The 27844-nt window shown below is 37.6% G+C and overlaps 2 long non-coding RNA genes across 2 annotated transcripts in view; one reads left to right on the forward strand and one right to left on the reverse strand.

The window, feature by feature from the left end:
- The window catches only part of LOC124906300 (uncharacterized), a 55680-nt gene that overhangs the window by 11716 nt on the left and 16120 nt on the right, over window positions 1–27844 (forward strand). The window lies entirely within an intron of this gene.
- Window positions 14661–27141, reverse strand: LOC105374186 (uncharacterized). The gene is made up of 5 exons (XR_007096149.1): window positions 23155–27141; window positions 22980–23064; window positions 22759–22841; window positions 20196–20305; window positions 14661–14741 (listed from the first exon to the last, which is right to left on the reverse strand). It is a non-coding gene; the product is annotated as an uncharacterized LOC105374186 (long non-coding RNA).

A 27844-nucleotide genomic window follows, 5' to 3' on the forward strand; every position in this document is an offset into this window, starting at 1 on the left:
TATTAATATAAAACTACATTTTAAAAAATGATACTATGAGGCCACTGCATTATTGCATGATATAGAAGGAACTACTGAAAACCTTTGTCTCTGGAATTTCAAAAATCAGGGAGCTTCAAGGAATAGGAGACCTTCCTTCTGGTATTCAGCCATTAAGGTGACTAAGCTTTACCAACTCATGTTCTGGCAGATGTTTATTCCAAGATTTCAAATTCCTTGGAAGATGGTTGGCTCAGCTTAGGCCAGGTATCAATTTCAGAATCATTTATCTATTTTTTTTGGGGGGGGACAAGTGAATATGACTTCCAGGTGCTGAACCCTATATTTCAAAGAAACATAGTGTTGTGAGCTGAATGGTACTCCAAAAACTGTCTGCTTCACTATGCTCACCCACCCTTCTCATACACCTGAAGCTTCCCTATCTCTGCATGGTGCACCTTTCCCATACACAATTGCAGCTACCCCTTCCAATAGGAGAGGTTGCAAACTCCTGCTTCTGTATTGATCTAGAAGCAATGTCATAAGACTATACAGCTCTAAGCCAAGGATTTCCTACAGCATGCTTACTCTTCTAGTTCTGTCAAAATTTCTTTATATATTCTTCAATCCATGAACTAACTGGAAAATTTAATCATCATTAACACGTCCTAAATAACAGTGATTTTCTTTTTTTTTTTTTTTTTTTTTTTTTGAGACGGAGTCTTGCTCTGTCGCCCAGGCTGGAGTGCAGTGGCGCGATCTCGGCTCACTGCAAGCTCCGCCTCCCGGGTTCACGCCATTCTCCTGCCTCAGCCTCCCGCGTAGCTGGGACTACAGGCGCCCGCCACCACGCCCGGCTAATTTTTTGTATTTTTTTTTTAGTAGAGATGGGGTTTCACCGCGTTAGCCAGGATGGTCTCGATCTCCTGACCTCGTGATCCGCCCGCCTCGGCCTCCCAAAGTGCTGGGATTACAGACGTGAGCCACCGCGCCCGGCCAACAGTGATTTTCAAACTGGGATATGAGTACATTTACGGATGCATAAAAATGTTCCAAGGGCTACACTAGCCTGGGAACTTTTAAAGGAATCAATGTCCAGACCCCCAGCTTCAATATGGAGCCTTTCTTTCTTAAAATTGATCTGCCTGCTCTGGGTTTGAGTTAGAGGACTCTTGCCTTTCTCTGCGTTCTCATCTCCTCTTTCAAAACAGACTTTCCAAGTATACCTCTCCCCCATCCTGGATCTTACTGTGGTGCTTTACCAGAGTGTAAAACCTCAGGAGAACCAAACAACAAACTATCTTAGGTTATTGGTGTTGGGGAAGATTTCTTTAATCAAGATGCCATAAACACATGGGAAAACTTGGTGTCTTTCACTGTCTTATATATATTTCAGTTGAGGGTAAAGCATAGTATTAAAAATAATCTATTCTGAATTCAGATGTATTAGGAACTGGAGCAGCAAGATAAATGACAACTTTCATTCAACAATTTAGTCTCTTCCATTCCCTGACTCTTGTCAAAGAAGTATTTCTTCTGTGGGAAGTTCTCTTGAATGCACAGCAAAGATTATAGGCAGAATATGGAGACTCTGGTACGTTATCTTACCTAGGTGACAAACCCATAACAAAGTTCTGGGCCTAGTCTAACTTGAATACTCAAAGATTTGAAGAGACCAAGTTGGGAAATAACCATTTGCTAAGAAGAAATCTTTCTCTAATTGTACACCACTCTTGGTTAGCTTGGTGGCTACTTCCACTCCTTTGTGTCTTTGTGTGTTTCTTTTGCACGTTTTTCAAAATTTCAAGAGAAAGGAAGCAAAAAAGTTTCATGTTTACTTTTAAGAGATCCATGTTATATCGTCAAAGAAAAGGAACATATATTGAGGGTGAGTTAGTGTTTTCTCTTAACCATTTATTTAGACTGGTAGTAGAATCCTTTTTTGAGGTCTTTTAACAAAAAGCTATTGCTTATTCCAAATCCGTATTTATTTTTACTTGGAGCTAAGTCTACTGCTGACTGTGACTCATTAACCACTTCTCTGCTTATTTGTTTATTTATCATAAAATGTACTAATTAGATATATATTAACTAACTGGGCTATATTTTGAATTTTATAGCAGTAATGCACTTAGCAGTCACTGAAACACTCTTTAGATCTGCTTTGCTGGGGCCCAACACTTTCTTTTATTTTGTTGTTAATTTGCACAAAATAGAATGTTAATTTGTATAAAATTAAACTGTAGTCTTAGAAGCCATAGTTATGATAAATGTTCCCCAAATGCAATCAGGACGTAATGACCCAAATTAAATGTTTTTTATTCGATTAAGTTTAGCTCTTCTTTTGCAGATGATGACTTGCCTTTCTAATTCTGTCAAATGCATAATTACAATCTTGTTTTCAGCTGTTAAATGAAATTGCATATAGATAAATAGAATGAATATACACCTATACACATATATTTTTTCAGTATCCGTCTTCTTGTCCATCTGTTATCTTTTTAAGACACTGAGTCTATCAAATATTGAAATTTAGTATGAATATTTCTGCAGTCAATAGTTTAAAAATTATAATGTGAAATTTCCAATTTTATGGGGTTATTTTAAAATCATTTATGTACAATTTTAGCTTGAAACATAAGATACTTCTAAATAAAATAAGTGTAATTGGTAGTTATTTGATAAATATTGGTTAAGCTTTTTAGGTGTATCTTCCAGAAATTGTCTATCTAATAATTGGGTTTAAACATTTCTTTCCAAGTCAGAAAAATATCGCAAGTAAAATATTTATTGCAAAAATATCTTACTTGCAATAAAATTGAAGGAGGACCTAATAGTGTTGTCAACGATCAGATTCTTAAAAATATTTTTGGTGAAGGATTACCACTGTAATTTTTCCTAACTTCGACCGGCACTGGTCCCAGCGCCCAGGCCATCTCCCAGCGGTGGCAACATGAAGCCAGGCGGCTAGGGCGGAGGTGGCGGCCCTGATGGCGGCGAGCTGGTGGCCAACATGCTCCCAGTCGCTGGCGGCGGTGCCTGCTCCTGACCTGGGCTCCACTCCCACCCCGTGCGCCAAGCGCAGCCACCGCCGCCCACAAAAGGATTTTTCAAATGTTTTTTTCGCGGGGAAAGAAGTTTGAAGACTACTGCAATAAACAACAACAGAGAAAAAGGAAGAGGAAAGAGTATAAAGATTTTTGCTTATATCATGTGAATTATTAAAAAGAATGAAGGGAAGGGGAAATTATTCAATCTTCTGGCCCTCCGCGTACATACGAGGCAGAAGTCTGACATCTGAAGAAGATAAAGTGAGGCTAAGTACCTTCTCTTTAAAGACACACCTAGAAGTGGAATCCATCATTTTCCTTCTACTCCATCTGCTAAACGTAGCTCATAGCCAGAGATGGCTGTAAGGGAAGCTGGAAAATATAAATCTTATTCTGATGGCCAGCTGCCCAACTAAGAAAATAGAGTGGAGACCTCATTCTCATTTCTACAACTGCTCGCACAACTTTAGTTTGGCATTAATGATTTTCCTTTCCTTTTTTCCAGGCAACTGCTCTGTTCCTTAAGGCAGGTCAGGCTGGGTGTGGTGGTTTACATCTATAATCCCAGCATTTCAGGAAGCCGAGGTAGGAGGATTGATTGAGGCCAGTAGGTCAAGACCAGCCTGGGCAACAAAATGAGACCCTAACTCTACAAAAAATTAAAAATTAGGCAGGCATGGTGTCACGTCCCTGTAGTCCCAGCTACCTGGGCGACTGAGGCAGCAGGATCGCTGGAGCCCGGGAGTTTGAGATTACAGTGAACTATAATCTAGCCACTGCGTTCCAGCCTGGGTGATAAAGCAACACCCTGTCTCAAAAAACAAACAAACAAAAAACAAAAGTGGCAGGACATTATATCACTGCTTCACATTTTTTGCCATTAAATAAGTTCTTGTTTGGAGGCCATATTGACTAAGAAAGCATGATGTTGTACAGGATTTTCAATAAGGACACGGATGTTGGTGTAGGCAGAAGCATGATGGGTAGGGGAAGCCTATCCAAATGCAGAATTAAGTGTCTCTTCTTGTTATGGTCTTCTACATGATGAAGGGAGCCTAATAAAGTCAGCCTGGCAACAGATACCTAGTGTTGTGTTACCATCCTGGTGCTAGGGTTTGCTACCCTGCTGAAAAATTAGGTACTCGACAATAGCAGGATTGGCCTTTGTAAGGGAAAATTTCTTGTTCAGCTCATACATATGCCATTCCTGCAAGCAATTATTGGCATTCTTTTAGACAATTGAAGTCACACTCAGCAGGTTAAGGAAGAAGTGTGACGAACTTCCACAGAAACAGTTCTTTTATGTATGTAGTTATGAAGATCCTTTCTCCCCCTACGTAGGCCTGTATGATGAGTTAAATACAATATATAGGATATGTTTTAGTTAGTGGAACTGTTTGCTTTGTAATAAGATCCAAACAAATAGTGGCTTAAGTAAAACAGAAGTTTAGCTATCCCATAATAGCCTAATCATAAGCTGTCTGGGGTTGATATGGTGTTGGGGATCCAAGTTCATTCTATCTTATTGCTCTGTCATTCCTAGAATATTGCCTGCATGCTTGTGGTAGAAAAGACTCACCACTATAGTAACATGCCAGGCTACTGAAGAAGGGAGAGAGTGAAGGCAAATTCCTTTCTGTTTAGAAGCACAACCCAGACGTTGACCCAGCATGACTCATCACTTCCTCCTACTTTCTATCCACAAACCTTAGTTCACAGCTCTAATAGCTGCAAGAGAAGCTGGAAAGTGTAAATCTCATTCCCATGACCAGGTGTCCAACTAAGATTTGAGAGTTTTATTATCAAAGAAAGAAGAAAAATGAATATTTATGAGTAACAAGTAGTCTTTCTCTGGTCAAGAAATGAATATTTACAAGCTTGGAGATCATTCTGAGCCTATTGAAACTTCATACAGATTTTACTCTATTTCTCAATTTATTTTTTGAATTGAAAATTTAAAGTTTAGTTCTCAAATTTATTAAATTTTAAATATTTCAGGTGATACTTTAACTTATAAAACAAAAAACTAAGCAAAATTAATATTTATGTCACTATGAATTTGGGGTGGTGGTGGGAGTAGTGATAGAAATATCAAGACTTAAAGATATTTCTAGTTGATACTATTTCTTACTGTTTTTGGTACAGTTACTATAGTTCCCAATTTCTAAATGGGAAAAACATAGCATAGAGAAATTTAGTGGTTTATTTCAGTTACAATTTGTGGCAGGACAAAACTTAAATTATGATGGATCACACCACAGGCCTCTTCCCAGGGTTTGCAAACTGAAATGCCTGCAAGACTCAAGTAGGCAACATAAATAAATAAAGTACATCTCATATAGCACAGTAGGGGTGTCAGGGACCTTGGTCAACTTGAATAATTACACTCTAATTAAAGAGGTCTGCCAAGACAGTAGTCTCTAATTGCCATTTCCCGCTTACAAAAGGTGGTAGAGATCTTTAGGGAAATAGTGGATTCCACATCTAGGGCAGAAAATGCCTGTGATAGCTTATGAAGCTAGAAAACCAGGAAACACTCAAAAGAATAACTTGAAGAAGAAGTGATTTTTTAAAAGTACAAAGGAACTAATTAGAATGAATTTGTGAAGATTGAAATGCATCAAATATATAAAAATTCATTTGTTTGAACTAAAACAAAAAGAACATCTCAATGGTTAGCCATTAGAGATTGTTAGGGCATCATCTGATTACCGTGAAAATTAAGGGAAAGAATCAAGCATATATTCTTTTTTTTTTTTTTTTTCTGAGCTGAGTATTGGTCTGTTACCCAGGCTGGAATGCAATGGTGCAATCATAGCTCACTGCAACCTCGAACCCTAGCTCAGATTATTGTCCCACCTCAGCCTCCTGAGTAGCTGGGACTACAGGCGTGCATCACCATGCCCAGCTTTGCCCACTTTCTTGGTCCCGTCTTCTCACTTCTCCATGTGTACGTATTACCAGGCTCAATTACTGGGAGTTCGTCGAACAAGCCATTGTTCCACATGTCCTTTGTATATCCATTCTCTGTATCATTTTTCTTCCCTGTTCACCTGCTGAACTGCACGTTGGTGATGATTCTGCACAGATATCACTGCTTTACAGAACCTTCTTCACTTCTGCCTTCTCAGACCCAGATGGCACAGGCAGCAAACAAATGCCTGTAAACAGTCCTGCTTAACTGTGCTCTAAAGCCCCTCAAAGGCACCCCTGGCGGGGTGTTGCTTCTACCAAGATGGCTGGTTATACACCTTTGCCAGAAGAACTAGGAAGCCAATGCTCTAGCTTTGTGGCAACACCAACAGGCATGTCATCCTGCTGATTTAAAACTTTTAACATGGCCTGTGAGTACTTTTGGTGGCTCTCCAAAAGACAGTACATAACTACATTCATGCACCTGTGACCAGGTCACTGGGATAGCATCTTGAGACTGTCCAGTCCCTGATGCCATCCTATTGCTAGTGAGCATCACCACTAGAGTGAGCCTGCCTGTCCTGCCCTTCCCATTTCTACGTCCACAGTGTGTACACTGGAACAGACATTGTGACTGATCATCTAGGAAACTGCCTGGTCCTCAGATATCAGAGCTATCTGCTCCTTGACCACGATCTCTTGTTTGTTGCTCTAGCTCGGGGAGACACCCTCCATGGTCACTGTCATTTGTTTATACCACTACTCCCAGACATACCAGCAAAGGATTTGAGAGCAGAGCATCTCTAGCATCTCTGAAACAGATGAATCACTGGAGAAGTTTCAAAATACTGGCATTGATCTGGTATTAATCAATGCCAGTATTTTGGTTCTTTATGAAAGATGTGAGGGGAATCTGTTGTCTCTTTTGGGACGAGGAGGAGAGAAGAAAAAAGTGTTTGGAAGCAAGATCTCATTATTTGATGCCTTTTTGGTTTCCTGCATAATTATTTCCTTTTTGTTCTATTAAAAGAATTTGCAAAACATTTTTAAACATGCTGGCTTGTTGCAGCAATGCTAAGTGAACAAAACATAGCAATTGAAATCAAGTCCAAGTCTTTATGTTTCAAGACATGTAAACCCAAACTCAGTTAAACAATAAAGGGAAGTTAATGGTTTCTTACCTGAAAAATCTAGAGGCAGGGCTAGCTTTAGGTAAGGCTTTACCTGACTGCGTGGCTATGTCACTAAAAGCTGAGTCTGTGAGGGAGATCCCTGCCCTGGCTGAGCTGTGGAGAAGAGACCACAGTACCACCAGACACAGACTTTGGTGGCCCATAGTAGCAGCATGCCCCATTGTGCCTCACTGGGAGTTGGTTCAGGGAGCAGCAGTGGCTAGCCACTTTCTGTTAGACCATGAGAATACAGAGGATGCCATGCGCTTCCCAGGACCTTAGCTTCACCTCCTGGCTATGACGTCATGGCGGCATAACATCTCACTGGTGGACCCACGGCCCATCTGGGAATAGATGTGGAGCCCTGAAAAATACCATTTATGTGGGCCATTCAGGCAGAGACTGAGTTAAATTTTGAAAGGCAGTCTAATTAGTTTGGTTTGGACTATGTTTACAAGATTAAAATAAAATGTGGCTTTTTCTTCTTACCTATTGGGTCAGGAGCTTATTAATAAGATCAAATCAATCACAAAGAAATTTTTAAAGCCTTCTTTTCATTGCACACCTGACCATAAAATGAGTACATTTGTGACTACACTGTTTAAGCTTATTTTGCCATTAATAAATAATGTGTGTTCATTAAGGAGAATGTGCAAAGTTTAAAAATAAAAGGAAAATATCACTTGTTAATGACACCTAAACACAATTGGTGTATTTTTATATATTTCCTTCCAGTGTTTTTTCTGTGAGTACATTTTCATTACATAATCAAAATCATATTATAAATGTGGGATTTTATTTCTTTTTTATTTAATATTATATCAAAGCACTTTTTGACCTCTAGACATATAATGTAAATGAGTGTATATTATTCTATGAATATTTCATTGCATAATGTCCCAGAACTTACTTAACTGATCTTTTGTGTTTTTGTTTTTGTTTTTGTTTTTGTTTTTGAGACACAGTCTCACTCTGTTGTCCATGCTGGAGTACAGTGGCCCAGTCTTGGCTCACTGCAACCTCCTCCTCCCAGGTTCAAGTGATACTCGTGCCTCAGCCTCTAGAGGAGCTGGGACTACAGGCATGTGCCACCACGCCAAGCTAATTTTTTTTTTTTAAATGGTAGAGACAGGGTTTCACCATGTTGGCCAGGCTGGTCTCCAACTCCTGGCCTCAAGTGATCCACCTGCCTCGGCCTCCCAAAGTGGTAGAATTACAGGCGTGAGCCACTGCGCCCACTACTTAACTGATCTTTTAATACTGTATCATATTCATTAAAGAAGAGGAAAAAGTAAAAAATATGTTTAGGGTGAAACATATACTGTATCTAAAAAGGACAGAATAATTTTGGTTACTTTTTATCCCATACAGATCCTTTCCCTAAATTATACCAAATTTATAATGAATCAAGTTGCAATATTGGCCCAAAGCACCTAATGAGCTCTAGAAGTAAAAAGTATTACATGCTTCAGCAACCCAGACCTTATCCATCTGACCAGTTTTGACAAAGTCAGATCAAATGGGTAAGGGGAGAGTTAGCTAAATGAGGGAAATATCATTATCCAGCTTACACAACCATGGATGTTCCACTCATTCTTATATCCAGCTTCCTGGGCATCAGTGGACTGAATGTCAGCTCAGCTTTGGTTGTGTAAAACTGGCCAGGTCAGTACTATAACCTTTCAGACTAACAAACCCAGTAAGGGTTTGGAAAGACTGAAGAATGCTGGAACATTCTCTCTTTATTTTTTATTTTTCATCTTAAAGTACATACAGTCTACCCAGATTGCTTCCATAAGGGAATTCCATAAGGAGATTATACACATACACACACACACACAAACACACACACTCAGTTACAAAATGAATAACATTTCTTAATTTCTTATATAACATCAACTCTTTCAATCTGTACTAGCATCAAATTTCTTGGCTAATTTTCCCCACCAGACATGAAACTGAGTGGAGAAAAGAGAACATTTTCTATTTTTTTGGTCTTAAATGACCTAGACTCTGCATCTCACTCTGCTCTGCATAATTAGCCACACAAATGGGCATATGAAAAATAAAATTGCAAAAGCAAAGAATAGGAATATATTATTTAATTTCTGGTCATGTGTGTACATTTAATTGCGCATACAAGAAGATAATCATTATAAAGTACAACTTGTACAGTATGTCCTTAAAACTTTTTTCTAGTAACATAGCCTATATGTTGTATACAAGCTAAATTAAAGTATTTCTTGTTTCAGTACTGACTACTATAAAATTTATTTATTCCAATTCAGGAAAGGATTTCAAAATGGAAGTGTCGAAAAAATGCCCACATTTTCCTATAGGTCAATTCTGATCCAGTATGCTGTGTTCAGTTATAACTGGAGCTGTACTTTGGTCTTAATAAGGTCAGCAAAGACAGAATTCTATACATCTTAATGAAATCTCCTGCGAGTGGATTCAGTATATAGGATGGTGCTTCTAAATATTTTACATGTAGCTTTCCAGTAATGGTGTTCATTCTGTCAATCAATATCAAGTTAACCTCAAAATTACTGAAAATCTGGAATAAGATATAAAATATTGAATTACTCATTTTTAATAGCATAGGTAATAAATGTATGTTGCTCTGGAGAAGTAACTGTTGATTTTTTTCATGTAAAATTTATGAGACATTTTGAAATAGTGGGGAAAGTTCAGTCCTCTCCTCCGTACTGGAGGATAAGTTCAGTGGGAACAACCAGAAGCCCTCATGCATGAGACATTGGTGTGTTGTATTCTGGAGGCATGGTCCACCCATTTCTTGTATTGCAGAGGCTACTCAGTCCCAATTCAACTTGAGGAAATTCTATTCAATGTAATGTTGTTTAACACTTCAATTTAATAAACATTTAATGAGCAAAGCACAATGCTAGGTGTATTAAGAAGAGATTCCTTAGTTGCAAGGAATGACAGTTCTAGCATCAGTTTGCTTATGTGAAGGGCAATGGTACAGAGAAGTCTCATTGAACCTATGGCAGGAAGACAGGCAGGCCTCATGGGAACTGGAGAGCTGTCAAACATTCTCTTCCTTCCTGTCCCCTGACCTACACAGCCTCTTCTTCTGCTTCTGTTATTCTCTTTGACTACATGGCATTTGATCTGCCATATTTCTGCTTCATTCTGCTTTCTGTAAGCCTCCTCCTCTGCTCTTTTACCAAATCTGGCTCCTAGGTTTCAGTCTTATAGAAGGAACCTGTGAGTGTGTGTGTGTGTGTGTGTGTGTATACACATATATAATTTTTTACTTGCTGATGTTTTCTTGTGAAAAACATAATTTTAGCACAAGACAGATTGTGACAACAGGTACAAAAAATAAGTGCTACTGGAGTATGGAGGAGGGATAGATTGAGGTAAGGGTCTAGGAAAACTTCTGTGGTTGGAAGATACTCAAAATGTCAGAAATACTTTGAATGGTGGCCTACAGATGAGTGTAGAATGAAGTCCAATGTTTATGGCGACTAGGGATCATACGTGTTACAAAGATAGGTATGACTTGAGAGGCAGCTTCTTCAACAATGGAAAATCATCAGAGGTTTTTAATGAGGTGAGTCACATGATCAAATCTGTGCTTCATGAAGATGCTTAGGGCATTCTAGTTGGATGAATTGGATGTGGTGAAGGGGCTGGAGCTCCTATCCTCCTTCAGAAGCAAGGCAGATCAGTGAATCCGCATAAGGGTATTAATGGTCTGAATTAGGAGAAAAGCCATGAAAATGAGTGGACACAAATAACCATTATATTTAACAAAGATAGTATAGCTTTGCTGTGGAATGTGTGAATAATAATCAGAGTTTAAAATGTTGGCAAAATGTTAAATACTTCTAGTAAAATGCAGCATGGTTTTTAAATAGTTAATTTTAAATAGTTAATTTTTAAGTGGAGGAAGGAAGAAGAATATGAAGATGGGGAAGTGTTAAGTTTGTTATTTTTAAAAATTTTTATTTTACTTTAAGTTCCGGGATACATGTGGCAGAACATGCAGGTTTGTTACATAGGTGAGCATGTACTATGGTGGTTTGCTGCACCTATCAACCTGTCACCTAGGTATTAAGCCCTACATGCATTCTGACGCTCTCCCTCCCCTCACCCCACCAACAAGCCCTGGTATGTGTTGTTCCCCTCCCTGTGTCCATGTGATCTCATTGTTCAGCTCCCACTTATGAGTGAGAACATGCAGTATTTGGTTTTCTGTTCCTGTGTTAGTTTGCTGAGGATGATGGCTTCCAGCTTCATGTCTCTGCAAAGGATATGATCCCATTCCTTTTTACGGCTCCATAGTATTCTATGGTGTATATGTACCACATTTTATTTATCCAGTCTATCATTGATAGGCATTTGGGTTGGTTCCATGTCTTTGCCTTTGCTATTGTGAATAGTGCTGCAATAAACATACATGTGCATGTATCTTTATAATAGAATGATTTATATTCCTTTGGGTGTATACCCAGTAATGGGATTGCTGGGTCAAGTTGGTTATTTTTAGTTTTTAAAAAAATGCTTTCTGTCAGCTCTGGAGGGCTGCTAGCCCACAGTCCAATAGTTAGGATGGATTCCTCTGCTAGGTCCAAGCTGTGTGTGATGGGGTGACACGGCTGGTCCCTCAGAGCAGGATGAGGAACAGTCCACTTAGGGATAGAGTTGGTGTGCAAAAAGAGGTGCTGTGTGGGTCCAGTGTAAGAGAAACAAATCTGAAATCTAGCATTGAAATGCTATTAAAAGAAGAGGCCCCATGGACTACTGTTTGGAAAATTCCATAAAACAATAGGGTCCCAGTTCTCTAGAAGATGGTGAAGACAGAAATTGGACTCAAGGGATGCTGAAAGGGGATTATGATATAGAGAAAGACAGTCCTATAAATCTGGAAATTGTTTTGTACAATTGTCATCTCCTGGATGATCTGGTCATGACCATCAGCCCCATTCACAGTCATGGAATATGTTCTTAGTGAGCCGTTACCAATTGCAAAGCACTGTTACAAACACCAAGGGGCCTACCATGCCACTGAAGGAGAAGGAGCTAACATTTTTTGAGGATCTCCTATATTCAAGGTACATTACTAGAGACCATGCAAATGTTATTTGATTTAATTTTTTTTAACATCTACAACTTTTTAAGCTTGGTCACAATTAGTAGGACTTTTTCTCTGTCCAAGCACAGTATTGGCCACTTCCTTACTTTGTGACTCTTGAATAAATTGTTTTTCCCCAGACACACAAAGGGGGCAACTACTTTCCTCCAGAGGTCAATAGTTGAGATGAGGGACTTGCTCTGTTGGCAAATCTGAAATCTCACCCAGCCAAGCTTCTGACTCATCTTTCCTGTCCTCAGTGCCTCCTGATCTGTGAGCTCTTGGTTCTGGCCCATCCCCAGGCCAGTGAGCTCACTCTAAACTGTTGCTGCTGCTTCTCCTCAGATAGCTACGTCCTTCTAACCGGAGCCTACAATCTATTTGGGGAGCTTTGGCTTCTAAAACTTCCCCTTCCAATGCATGGGAAGCACTTTTCATCACAAAAGACAATAATTTTGAAAAAACTAATAAATAAATAAATAAATAAATCCTCTGAAACACAGAATTTAAAAATGAAAAAATTTGTCTACTTTGGGTAAATGCTTCTTTACCATTAAGAGAGATTGTGTCTTAGATCTCCTAAGGTTAACACAAAAGATTATAAAAACTATTAAGGATTTGGAGTCATTATGTTCATTACTGTTTTTTAAAATTACATTTTAATTTTAGCATTGAATGCTTTGCTGCTATGAAAGATAATAGGATTAATACTGGGAGGTAGGGTGACCAACAATCCCAGTTTGCCTAGGAGTGAGGAGTACCTTGGGATTTGGGAATTTTTGCACTAAAACCAGTACAGTTGGTCCCCCTAGTGGAAAGCATCTTGGTATAGTTGCTAAGACTGTAGATTCTAACACCTTCATTTAAGGCTTTGCTCTTCAATGTACTACCTATTTATCATAAGCAATGTACTACCTATTTATTACAAGCAAATTACCTATTTTTATGTCTCTATTTTCTCTTCTGTAAAATGAGGATAAAACAGTAACTACCCCCAAAGAGTTGTTGTGAAATTGAATGAGTTACTATATGGAAATGTAGTGTGGCAGGACCCCACCAGGTTAGTTAAAGGTTTATGTCTACTGCTTGAATCCTGAAGGCTAGGCAATGAGCCAAGGTCTTGGTGCTCAGCAGAAGGGCAGGTGTCCTTGAGAACCCAAACATCCTGGAGCATAGCTGGAAACATAATAGTGGACAAAGAGCCAGAAAATTAACTTAAAAGCAGTTTAGAGAAGAGCAGTGGGGTAGATCTTGTAGTTGTCCTGCTGCTGCCCAGGAATGCCCTGTGTGTAAGTCCTGATTAACTCATCTGCTTACCAAGCCGGACTTGTCCAAGTCATTCTTTGGTCTCTCAACTATTTCCCACCACCCCACCCCACCCCACCCCACCCCTCCCACCCCAGGTTTTTCTTGTAACACAACAGTACCGACAATGTAATGAACACCAAATAAATGCCAGCTGTCATTGCTAAGTCCTACCCCTTTTCCCTGATTGTATTTGTTTATATATTTTTTTACTACCCCAGCTTTTGATCCTTCATTTTACATTTACATAGATTCATTGTTTACTACTTGCCCTTCAACTATGTCTTTTCCAATACTGAGTTTTCCAATCTTTAAAAAAAAGTTTAAAAGTTGCTACATAATATTTTGCATATTTATAGGGTAATAAGATAATATGTGATATTTTGTTATATATATAGAATGTGTAATGATCAAGTCAGGGTATTTATTTGACATGTCTATCACTTTGAGTATTTATCATTTCTATGTGTTGGGAACAATTCAAGTCCTCTCTTCCAGCTACTTTGAAATACAGAATATATTGTTGTTAACTGTAGTCACTCTACTCTACTGTTGACAATGGAACTTAAACTTTTTATTGGTGTGTTTGTAACCATTAACCCACCTCTCTTCATTCCCCTTCCCACCCACCCACTTTTCCCAGCCTCTAGCATCTATCATATGAGATCAACTTTTTTTATGAGATCAACTTTTTTTTATGAGATCAACTTTTTTTAGCTCCCATATATGAGTGAGAACATGCAATATTTGTCTTTCTGTGTCTGGCTTATTTCACTTATAATAATCTCCAGTTCCATCCATGTTGCCACAAATGAGTTTTAAAATCTTGATTCATTTCTTGGCTGGCTGAGTTTTATAATCAATTAAACTTTTCACAGAGAGCTCATAGGTGCTTCTATTAGTGTGCTGTAGCTGCTATTTTAAAAATGCCATCAGGCGCGGTGGCTCACACCAGTAATCCCAGCACTCTGGGAAGCCATAGGTGGGCGGATCACCTGAGGTTAGGAGTTCAAGACCAGGCTGACCAACATGGTGAAACCCTTTCTCTACAAAAAATACAAAAATTGCCTGGGCTTGATGGCGGGTGCCTCTAATTCCAGCTACTCGGGAGGCTGAGGCAGGAGAGTTGCTTGAACGTGGGAGAATCGCTTGAATGCAGGAGGCAGAGGTTGCAGTGAGCCGAGGTCGCGCCATTGCAGTGACAGTGCGAGACTCCATCTAAGAAACAAAAACAAAAAAAGATTGGGTGGTTTAACAAAATTACTTTTCTGTTTTGGAGGCCAGAACTCGAGACCAACATGCCATAGAGTTGGGTTTCTGGAGAGGGCTCTCCTTCCGGCTTGAAGATGGCCACCTTCCTGTTATGTCCTCATATGGCCTTTCCTCTATGCCTCTGTGGAGAGAACACGTTCTGGTGTCTCTTCCTTTTCTTATAAGAACATTTATTCTATTGTATTAATCTCTCCTTTTGACCTCATTTAACCTTAATTACCTCCATAAAGGCCCTACCTCCAAATATAGTCACATTTCGGGTTAGGAGTTCAACATACAAATTTTGGGGAGACATAATCCAATTAATAATATTGCTGTATTTTATGAGTTCTCTAGTTTTTGAAAATGCCTGCTGCTTGACTTTATGACTGAATAATATCTTGCAGGCATATAATATTCTTGGATCCCTCTTTTTTTCAGCATTTGATGGATAGTGCTCCATTCATTTCTGTCATTGATGTTTTTCATGTCAAAGTCTGAGGCCATCCTGACTTTTTCTCTTATAAATGACTTGTTTTGCTTGAATTCCTGAATTCTTTTTAAATTTTTTCTTAGAATTTTTCTTTTTTTTCAGAGACAAGGTCTCACCTGGTTACTCAGGTGCAGTGGCATGATCATAGCTCACTGCAGCCTTAACCTCCTGGTCCCAAGTGATCCTCCTGCCTCAGTCTCCTGAGTAGCTAGGACTGCAGGCAAGCAACACCACACCTGGCAATTTTTTTAATTTTTGTAGTTCAATAACTTCACCACATTGTATCTTGACCTATGTCTTTGTTTTCTTATATAGAATGTATTCTATCAAACTACAGATTCAGGTTTTATGTTTTAGTAACATTTTACTTTCTTTTATTTCAAAATACTTTTCCTGTTCTGTTTGTTGACTTTTACCTCAGGGACATCAATTATTCTTATGTTGGGTCACCTTTGTTCTTCATTTTATCATGTTCTCTAAAATTGCTTTCATCCCTTTTCTTTTCTTTTCTTTCTTTTCTGCATCCAGCATTATATCCTTATAATTTTATTATTATATTTTTATATATCCTTATAATTTTATAATTATTATAATAATCTTTCTTTCACCTCACCTAGCAGAGAGTAGTAGTTGCATACCTGATAATAATTTCTCTCTTCTTCCTTACTAGTAGAACTCCATTTTTTTAGAGAGACAGGTTCTCTCTCTGTTATCCAGGCTGCGGCGCAGTGGCATAATCATAGCTCACTGTAGCTTCAAACTCCTAGTTAGTCTCAAGCAATCCTCCCACTTCAGCCTCCCAAGTAGCTAGGACTACAAGGTGCACACCATCATAGCCAGCTAATTTCAAAATTTCTTTTGTAGAGACAGGGTCTCGCTATGTTGCCTGGGCTGGTCTTGAACTCTTGGTCACAAGCAGTCCTACTGCTTCAGCCTCCCAAAGTGTTGTGATCACAAGCAGGAACCACCATGCCCAGCCTCATTTTGTTTTTTTATGGCAATGTATATCTTAAAAAGTTGATTTCTTGGTCTCTCTTGCAGCTGAAGTTGGGCATATGACCCAACTCTGGACAATGAGATTAGGTCTAATGTGTGAGATATTTAGGAGAGCTTTCTAAAAGAGATTCAACTCAGTTGGCACATGCCTTTTACATTTCTTCTTTCTCATTATGCCTTCTTGAAATATAGACACAAAGTGAAAGAAGGAGCAGCCCTCTTGGTATCATGAAGTGTTCATAAGGATAAAGACTACACACTAGAGATGTTAGAGCAGAAAGCTAACTGGATCTTTGATAGCTCCTTTAAAGAATTGAGAAAAATAACTCACAATTGGTTTAAATAATTTAGTTTGGTTTCCTGTTACAATTGAAAATAATTCCTATTAATACAGATTATTCACTTGATTTTTAGCAATTTAAAAATATGATGTACTTTAGTAATTTTTTGTCATATTTGGGTTGGGGTCATGCTAATTCAGCTTTTGAGATTTGCTCCAATTTTGATATATGTGCTACTGAAGGGAGCAGGATATTGTTTTTTCTTTAATGGGGAAAGAAAAGGGAGGAAGCCAGGTCACAAAGAGCAAGCAAATATTGTCATTCTCAGTGATAATTAAGTGAGTCAACGGGGGAACCACAGGAAAGCAGAGGGAGGCTGGTAGTGGGCTGTACTCCTTAGAAGTAACAAGAAATGGACATTATATTTTGTCTTTTTCTGCCAGGCTTTCAAATTTTTGATGGTGAGATGATTTTTAAAATTATTTTCTGTTTTCCACTGTTTTATAGGGAGTAATACAGAGTTTAGAATCCAGAATTCAAAAATGAGTTTGAAATTACGTTGATAATGTGCTTATTGAGATAGTAAATTTGATAATAAGGTAATTAAAGCAAGCAAGCATAAAATAGTGCAACTAAGAAAAAGGACCAATATTGGCTTGGGATTTAAAGTAAATCTATACCTTTTGTTACTACTAAATTAGAGATGCCTGGTGGCTCTGCCCAGCTGTTAATTAAGCAGTGAGGAGGCCAGTCATTAACTCCTTCAGGTCCCCAAGATACTATTTAGTTATTGCTTCAATTTATTGCACTAAGCTCACTAATTGGCAATGTCTTAAAAACACTGGGAATATCTAGTTCATAATATGTTTAGTCTTCTATATGATTAGATGGAAAAAGCAATTCTAATTTAGTTTCTCATTCATTTTAATTTAGATTAGCAGATGTTCTATGTGTACTGCAGTAACTATTTTATTTGCATTATGGAAGAGCCTATAATAGCAATTTATCAATTTTTTGTTATACTGTGGTTTTAATTTCCTCCAAAATGCTACTATAAAAATAGGATGCATTTTATTTTCTAATTCATGTAGAATATCCCAAGAGCAATATTGGGCTCATAAAATTCAAGCCATATTTTAAAATGAGTTTTGTTTGAAGAGGGGATAAGGGAAACAGAAAAAAAAAAGTAAAATAAGAGAAAGAAGAGAAGTAAACTGAACAATGAAGTGCTCAGCTTTCCAAAGATATAAATTCACTGTGAGAACAGTGATGGTGGATGGTGGAAGTAGTTCACATAGAAAAGATTCTTATTTTCGGTATAATATTGCTATTTGAAACTGATCTAACATATATCACATTCCTTTCATGGATATGTATATAATGAGTAGAAATTTTCCACAAGGCACCATTTGGATAAACAGTAGGGAATTTAAATTTTGTAATCTCATAGGTTTCCTAAGTCTTACTTGCAGTTAATCAGACAACAAATGTTTGATATTTTAAGCTGCTAAATCTAGGGGTAGTTTTTTTATGCGCCAATAGATGACTAAAATACAATATACATTATAGGATTTTTTTGCTGATTAAATGAGAGCAAGTGATATATAAATGTTATCACTATTAATTGTCCTACCAGAACTTTGGTCAGAAAGTTACTTCTTTTATATAGATTATACTTATTCTGTTGTTGAGTTCAATTTTTAATGTTTTGTTTAGTTTCTCTAAACTTTCCCATCACTTTTAAGTTGAGGGTTACAGACATTTACATTTTTACCTCATGTTGGAAATGTGTGATTGGCAAAAATAGTCAATTCCTAGATGTTATAATAAAAATGAATAAGCTATGTTGAAAAAGTATACCACTACTCTCTACAGGCATGTGTATATAGGTGAATACAGAAAAGTTTTCAGCTGGTATGCTAAAGAGTTATTTTAGCAAAGCACACATATTCTTTGTAAGGGTTTGATTAAAGAGAAGTTATTCTTATAACCTCCTATATTTAAGCCCGATTTTCAAAGAATATTGGGCCACACCAATAACAACTTTATCTTTACATTTATAGTATTGGTGAATAAAGCTCACAAGACGGTGTTTTCATCATATAGGACCTGGACCTCAAACTCAATGCCTTTAGTGCTGAGCAGGTTAGGGAAAGAATGAAGTGAGCTGGGTGGGTGGGAGCACAAGTCCTGTAGAAGTTGAAGTTACTCAGCTCAACCCAACGTTCTCATTCAGGAATTTGAGTCCTTGCTTGCGAGTCTCCAAATTTCCAAGACAAGATGAAAACTTGGGCTTTTGTCTGTGATCTTTAAAATTTATTTGAGGGAAAACTCCCCATATTTAAAAATATTGTTTCAGTTTTTTAAAAACATTTGCAGATCAAATAAAACACATGTATGAACTAGAGACATATCCTAAAAAGATGAGAGAGAAGCTAAGTGTATGACCTGAAGCTATTTATTTTGTGGACAAATCCTGTAGCTATTGGAAGAAAGTTTTAGAAGCTTATGTTTTGTGCATTTCCAGGTGTTGGATAACCAATGCAGTTTCTATAAAGAGGCCAGCACTAACACTGCATCCATCAACAGAAAAATGTCGTGTCGAAAATCTTCTCATCAAGGTTTCTCATTCGCACAGACAAAACTAGTTAAAATTTCTAAAAAAGACATTTCCCTGTGTCTATAATCACTTTCCTGTGGATGCACGGTGGCCTACTTTATGACTTACTGTTTAACCAGCTGCAAAAACAATAAATGGAACCCCATGTAGAAAGGGCCATCTGCCAGTGGGCTTCACTGATTCATTATAATAAGGGTCAGCAAAGCTGGGGATCTGTCCCATCACGTCAGCTAGGTCTGCAATTGGAGGGTCTAAAATAAATGTGCTCTACTTCTAACCTTTACTCCTTTTGCTTTCACAATGTTTATTACTTTATTCAGCATGACTGCTCATGTGAAATGTGTCTATTGTCTTTTAACCACAATCTCAGGAATATCATAAATACAGAATTACATAGCAGGAGATATTTTTTGAATGTTGGAAAATGAGAGAAGACATTTTTAGCCTCTTCCAGGTCAATTCACTTTCTGTTATTCTACCATATATATTGTTCTTATAGCTACTATTTTGGATCCCATTAATTTCTGGCGATTGAAAAGCCTGAAATAGGGTACCTTGTTTTTCTGATAAAATCTGTTGGGTAAGATTTATTTCATCCTAAATTTTGACTCATAAAATATACTTTTGCAATTAAAATAGCAAAGAGGATGATTGCATTAATTGTATACATTAGTCATTGTATAAGATTTAATTTAAAAACTTATTAAGTGACCATATTTTCTGGGACTGCTATTGGTGATAAATGTTGAGCAAGACCCTAAATTAGTTAAGTCAATCCAAGTGAAGACAATGGAACATTAATAATATTTCATTTTTTACAGTATAATAAAAATTAATGTTTTTTGTCTCTTTTAGGTATATTAAAATAATGAATATTTTTCATTAGCCTATTAATAAAAATTAACACATTAATTAATATTAGCCATTCTTCAAAGAAAGTAATTGGGATATTTTATAAAAAAAGCAATATTCAGCAATTTCTGTACAGATTTTGACCCTCTGCATATTATGTATTCAGTAAGGTTGAATACCTGAAAATGATGAGTCCATTGTCATATTCCTTTTGTCTTCTGAGAGTTGTGAGGTAATTGTGAAGTACCTTCTATTAATCCAATCCTTTTGCGTATGTCAACTATAAACTCTGGGCAAAAGTGAACAATTACCTGAAAGCACTGGAGACTAGAAGCAGGAAGAATCTGGGTCTACAATTGGGAGAAGAACATTTCACTGAAGAAGTTTCCCATTTTTAAAGCCTTGTAGCTTGAGGACAAGGCCCAGGAAGGGTAGCCAAGAACCCTGTGCACAGAAACCCACACTTTTACTGGCTTTAAGAACCAGAGGATGGGCCAGGCACCATGGCTCATGCCTGTAATCCTAGCACTTTGGGAGGCCAAGGTGTGAGGATCACCTGAGGTCAGGAGTTCAAGACCAGCCTGGCCAACATGGTGAAACCCCATCTCTACTAAAAATACAAAAAAAAAAAAAAATAGCTGTACATTGTGGTGTGTGCTTGTAATCCCAGCTACCTAAGAGGCTGAGGCAGGAGAATCACTGGAACCTGGGAGGCAGAGTCTACAGTGAGCCAAGATTGTGCCACTGCGCTCCAGCCTAGGTGACAGAGCAAAACTCTGTCTCAAAAAAAAAAAAAAAAAAAAAAAAACAGGATGGAGTTGGGAGTGGCTAAAACAGCTGGAAAGTAAAGATGGAAATTCTGGAAATGAGAGAGCTAGAGAGGGGGAGGTCCAAATCCTCTATATAAACTCTGCCCAAATTGCTAGATGAATCCTAAGCCATAAATATATATAAGGAAAGGCTCTAAGCAGCCAAGGTAAGGCTAAAATCACTAAGTAATGATTTCAGGTGTCCACCTGCTGCAGAGGAGACAAAATTGGAAGTTTTCTTCCATCCAAGTAAACTGCCTTCTAAAACAACAAGAAAGATCAACACTTTTCAGAGGAATAGGACCAGAACTGGGTTATATGGCTATGCTGTAAGTGCAATTGAGCTAGGAAGGTGATAATTTGCCATTTTCCATCTCTGTAATGGGGAAGAGCCTCTGCCAGAAAGAAAGCAGAGAGTCAGAAAGCAAGTAGATTATCTAAAGAGTTTGCAACATTAGGCAAATTGATAGTCTGTTTGGGGCAAGAGGTACTTGTCTGCTGAGTTGGACTAGGAACCAAAGTTTTAACTTGCAATCTGGTATTTATCCCTGCTGTATATTTTAATAAATTTTATTGTAAAATATGTCAGACAAAAATTGATATTATGAGTCCCCATTACTTGCCTTTGTGAACCCTGAAAATCGGAGACAGGTCTCAATTTAGAAAGTTTATTTGAGGACGCATGCCCATGACACAGCCTCAGGAGGTCCTGATGACATGTGCCCAAGGGGGTCAGAACACGGTTTGGTTTTATACTTGTAGGGAGACATGAGACATCAATGAACATATGCAAGATGAGCAATGTCTCAGTCTAGAAAGGTGGGACAACTCAAAGCAAAGGTGGGAAGACTCAAAGTGGGGAGGGGGCTTCCAGGTAATAGGTAGATAAGAGACAAATGGTTGCATTCTTTTGAGTTCCTAGTCTCTCCAAAGAAGGCAATTAGATATGCATTTATCTCAGTGAGCAGAGGAGTGACTTTGACTAGAATGGGAATCAGGTTTTCCCTAAGCAGTTCCCAGCTTGACTTTTCCCTTTAGCTAAGTGATTTTGGGGATCCAAGGTATTTTCCTTTCACAATTTCCCCATTTTATTTTTAAAAATCTTTTGGAGAAAGCATTTTAGAAGAAAATGAGTCTCTCTGATCTCAGGTTTTGTCTGATCTCTCATGGTTAGGATGGTTTATTCCTAGATGCATAGGTCTCAAGTTATTAGGAAAGCTCATTTTTAGAAGGTTGTGAAGTCTCAAGTCCTATGAAGAGAAAGTAGGGGGAGAAAAGGAGAAAAACAACAACAAACAAAAGAAGAATCCTGGAAAACTGATACAGACCACATTACTCTGAAATTCATACATCAGTAGGCAGGTATGAAAGTGCCTTATGTATGTAAACAGGTTGCTGTTATTCTGAAGTTTAAGTTGTCTAGCTTTAGTTTGCAGGGCTTTATGAAAGCACAGCTTAGTTTCTGGTGACTCCAAATTAGGAAAAATAGGGAAACGAAGAAAAAAATTGAAAACATTATTTTGAAGACTTATAGCCAAGAAAAATTAGAATTCCATCCAAACTGTAGAAATTAATAAAAATGGAAAAACACTAGGGAAGACTAGAATTTAACAACAGGTGTACTATACTTTTTGAGCCATAAATTTTCTCTCTCTAGTTTCCATTTTTACTAAAGACAAATCATGATAGCACTGGTTTGCTTTATTATACCTGGCCTGACTATTTGCAGGAGGAATAATACTTTTTAACACAGGCTTTTAAATTGGCTTTGATGGAACTTTGTTCCATAGAAGGAATCTCAGATAAGACTTTTTTAAAGCCGAGCCCAGCCATGGATTTGTGCCATCAAAGGCCTATGAGTTGGCCAAATCCCTCTCCTCTTGAGCTTCCAAGATAAACTTAGGCCTGTCAGAAAGTGACATTCTTTACTTACCACAGGTCAGGAACTCTGTAGACAAAGGTATGAGGCCAGTTTTTCCAAGGGGCTTTGATTGGCTCCATAAGTCAGTTTGATTCCTTAAAGGAAAGCACACCATTCTAGTCAAAGCCTTGGTAAAATAACCAGTTTCTCCAACTGGGTCCTGTTACAAATGAAAACAGATTCTTATTGCACTTATGCAAATAACTGTATTGTCATAAGTTAAAAATACTCACAAATAGTTTCCAAATTCTGTGGAAATCAGAGAGAAACAAATATGATCCAAATGTTGTTCATAGGAGTATACTCATTCATTAAAAGCTGTAAATAGGTTAAAATAAAAGTTTTCTCGGCTCTGAAAAACAAAACAAAGTATCACCAATGTTTTAAGTAAAAAGTTAAAAAGATTACTTTGGACTTCTGTTAGTTTAGTCCATGCAGTTAATTCCTGTTCTATTTGACATTCATGAACATTTCAGCTCTCCATGAGTCCTGAAAGTTTTCTTTTATCCTGATGTCACAATCTCCAAAGTTATCAGAAACCTGCATTAAAAAGCACCTGTTAGCATTTTATAGCTGATTATAAAACCGATCAAACCAAGATAACAATTGTCCATGGATGGCAAAAAGTTTTAGGGCAGCTATAGTCAAAGGCACTTTGACAAGGAAATTTGTTACCTCTGTGGCATACAATAATGTAACATAACAATTATAATTATTACTGATAACATATATTAAGTCATATCAGAATTATAGGAGTTTCCCATAATTTTGGAACACATACCAATAACATATTTATACAAATACAGCCCAAAGAAAACCAAACACCATTTCATATTTGACAATGCTTCCTGTATAATTTTTATACCAAATAAGGCAAATATGTCATTTTTGGACTTTAGGGAACCTGTTACTAATATCTTAAAGGATTAATTAGGTCAGAAAAAGACATGATTTATAATTTGATTTTGGAAGGTTTGTCAAATATCAAAGGTTTAAAACGTGTGATATTACAAAATCAGATCACAGGTCATTGTAAAATAAGTCATTCATTTAAGCAAAGTGATCTCAGCTATAGACTAGCTGAAATTCAAGAAATGAACCTGTTTTTGCTACAGAATACCTGAAGGGCTCAAGTATGAATGACACCATGGATTAAAACATGGCACTGAAACCAGAGGGATCTGCTAGTATACAAAGAGGTTAGACCCCTGTTTCCTCTCCTGTGCATCGGTGACTATCCCTAGTCAGGCAATCGTGGCTTATTTCTGGAGAGACTGAACCAGAGGAGTAGGTCTTAAACACACTGTAAGTGATAGAGAGTGAAGGTGAAATAAAGGGTTGCACGCAGGGGGATTAATGAAATTCTAAATACTGGACTAATACTGGACTTTGGGACCCCCAGATTCCTTTCTCTATCCCTTCCAGAGCACCAGTAGTTTGGTATGTTCTTCCTAGGTAAAAAGTTGAAAAACAAAAAATAATACTGAAAGGTTTTAGAGAAAATACCTCCATAGACTGACTTAAAAGGCTGATATATTACCAGATCATCCACTATTTGGCAAGTCCTGTCCACAGGCCAGAACTTATAAAATTTTAGAGCCTTTAACATGGAAAGATGGCCAAAGATCAACATATTCTTTAGGAATCATTTAACATATGAGAGATCAAAATAAACAAACAGAAAATAGGAACCCAGAGGAAGCAAAGACAACTTTAAAAAAATGCTATACTAAATATCCTCAGAGAATTAAAATATATAAGTATATTGTAGCCATTAAGCAAAAACAGGATAACTATGGGAAAGAAATAAAGAAATTTCTTGATCCAGCAATTCCATTTCTAGATATTTATCCAAAATATTTGAAATCAATATGTGGAAGAGATGTCTGCACTCCCATGCTTATTGCTGCACTTTTCACAGTAGCCAAAATATGAAATCAACCTAGGTGTCATCAATGGATGAATGGATTTTTTAAAATGTGATACATACATATATATATACATACATACATATATATATATGCACAATGGAATAATATTCAGCCATAAAAAATAATGAAATCTTGTCATTTGCAACAACATGAATAAACCTAGAGACACTATGTTAAGTGAAATAAACCGAGCATAGGACAAATACCACATTATCTCATTCATATGAGGAATTTTAAAAAATTGATGTCATAGAAGTAGGGAGTAGAATACTGGTTGCCAGAGGTTGGAGAAAGCAGAGCGGCAGGGGAGATAGAGATAAACGGTTGGTCAACAGGTACAAAGTAAGCTACACTTAGATAGGAGGAACAAGTTCTGTTGTTCTATTGCACAGTAGGACGACTATAGTTAGTGATAATGTATATTTCAAAATAGCTAGAAGAGAGGATTTTTAATGTTTTCACCACAATGAAATGATAATGTTTGAGGTGAGGAATTTGCTAATTACCCTGATTTGATCATTACACAATGTATACATGCATTGAAACAGTATACTCCTTAAGTACATATGATTGTTATGTCAATTAAAAACAAAATAAAACTAAAGAAGAAATTGCTAAGGGAGTAAATTCCAAATGTTCTCACCACAAAAATAAGTATTTGAGGTGATGGATATGACAATTAGCTGGATTCCATTATTCCACATTGTATTCATAAATCATAACATCCTGTACCCCATAAATATATACAATTATAATTTGTCAATTTACAATTTAAAATAAAAATTAAAAAAGAATTGATGTTTCTGTAAATAAATTAGTTAATTCAAAACATTTTTAAAATTTTTTCTAGTCATTTAAATATGTTAAATGTTACTGAAATTAAAAATTTAAATAGAGTTGGAAGTTGAGGAAGTTTAGGAAATAAAAAACATAAAGAGATAAAAGACAGGAGAAACTATTAACAAAAAGAAGAGGAGATTAAGTCTAAGAGGCTCACTTTGTAACTAATAGAAGATTTAGAGAAGGCCACAGAGAGAACTGAGGGGAGGAAACTACCAAAAATTAATTGAAGAAAATCTCCCAGAATGGAAGAATATTAGTCTTCAGATTGAAAGTACCAACAGAGTCCATGCGAAAAGTTGAGAAAATGCCCACACCAAGTTACCTTGTTGTGAAATCTTGGAACGCTAGAGATAAAGAGAATCTTTTTTTAAGTTTGTGGAGAAAAAGGAGAGAGAGGCATGGAAGTGGGTGAAGGGAGATGAAGAAAACAGTACACATTGAAAGAAGAGGAAAAGAAGACGATCACAGTGACGTCAGGCTTTTTAACATTATCATTGCAAGCTAGAAGAAATGAGAAAATGCCTTCAAAATTCTGGAAAGTAATATTCAATCCAAACCAACATGCAGTGAATGACATCCCCTAGAGCTTTTCGGTTTTGGTTCGCATTTTTAAAACACTTTGAATAAAAATGACCCCCTAGGGTTTTGCAGTGCATAATCTTTACAACCATATGCGGCAACTCTACTCAATTCAGTCAAATTTGCAGTCACATTTGAAGACAGAATACAGACATAGAAGGACTCAAAATGTACACATCCATTCTTTTCTCAGGAAGGATATGCTCTAGAAAAGTGAACAGATAATCCAAAAACCAAAAAAAAAAAAAAAGGGAAAAACCTGGAATATAAGAAATGGGTAATTCTGCCACCAAAGGTATGTGGGTTTCCTATAACAATTCTCTATTCAATTCTTCAACACCAATTAAGTGTCCCCAAATTTAATTCAATTCTGACACTAAGTCCTGGAGTTAGTATCAGAGCCCACAGGTTAAGGGCCCGGTCCCACAAGACTGCCACTCAGAAACAGCCAAATAGAAGAGGTGTACAGGGCTAGCTGTAGGGGTGGTATAAAGCCTCCATGCCCTCTCCAGGTGCCCACTCTCCCAGCACATCAATATGTTCACCAATCTGGAAACTCATGGAATCTTGTTGTTCAAGAGTTTTTATAAAGCTCAATCTCCACCCCACCCCCACACCCCAGAGGTCAGTGAGTGGGGCTGAAAATTCCAACCTTCTAATCACTTGATCTTTCTGGTGATCAGTTCCATCCTGAAGCTATCTAGGGGTCCTACCCTTAGTCATCTGATTAGCGTAAATTCAGGTGTGATCAAAAGGGTCTTTCATGCCTGTAATCTCAGCACTTTGGGAGGATTGATTGAGGCCAGGAGTTTGAGACCAACCTGGGCAACAGAGCACAACCCTGTCTGCAACAAAATTTTTTTTTTAAGTAGCTGAGCATGATGGTATGTGCTTGCAGTTTCATCTACTCAGGAAGCTGAGGTAGGAGGATGGCTTGAACCCAGCAGTTTAAGACTGTAGTGAGCTATGATTTATGCCACTGCACTCTCCAGCCTGGGCGATACAGTGAAATCCCATCTCTTAAAATTAAAAAAAAAAAAAAGCCAAGCATGGTGGCTCACGCCTGTAATCCCAGCACTTTGGGAGGCCGAGGTGGGAGGATCACAAGATCAGGAGATTGAGACCATCCCGGCTAACATGGTGAAACCCTGTCTCTACTGAAAATACAAAAAAATTAGCCAAGCGTGGTGGCAGGTGCCTGTAATCCCAGCTACTCGGGAAGCTGAGGCAGGAGAATCTCTTGAACCCGGGAGGTGGAGGTTGCAGTGAGCTGAGATCACGCCATTGCACTCCAGCCTGGGTGACAGAGTGAGACTCCATCTCAAAAAAATAAATAAAAAATAAAAATAAATACAAACAAAAATTAAAAAATGGAAAGCTTGCTATGAATAATAAGAAAAGACATGCCCACTGATTTTGTATCCTGAGACTTTGCTGAAGCTGCTCATTGGCTTTAAAAGATTTTAGGCTGAGATGATGGGGTTTTCTAAATATAGAATATGTCCTCTGCAAACAGACAATTTGACTTCCTCTCTTCCTATTTGAATACACTTTACTTCTTTCTCTTGTCTGATTGTGCTGGCCAGAACTTCCAATACTATGTTGAATAGGAGTAGTGAGAGTGGTGGGCATCTTTTTCTTGTACTGGTTTTCAAAGGGAATATTTCCACCTATAAAGACATATGCACACATATGTTTATTGCAGCACTATTTACAATAGCAAAGTCATGGAACCAACCCAAATG

This window comes from Homo sapiens, chromosome 3 (assembly GCF_000001405.40).
Source record: "Homo sapiens chromosome 3, GRCh38.p14 Primary Assembly".
NCBI classification, from domain to species: domain Eukaryota; kingdom Metazoa; phylum Chordata; class Mammalia; order Primates; family Hominidae; genus Homo; species Homo sapiens.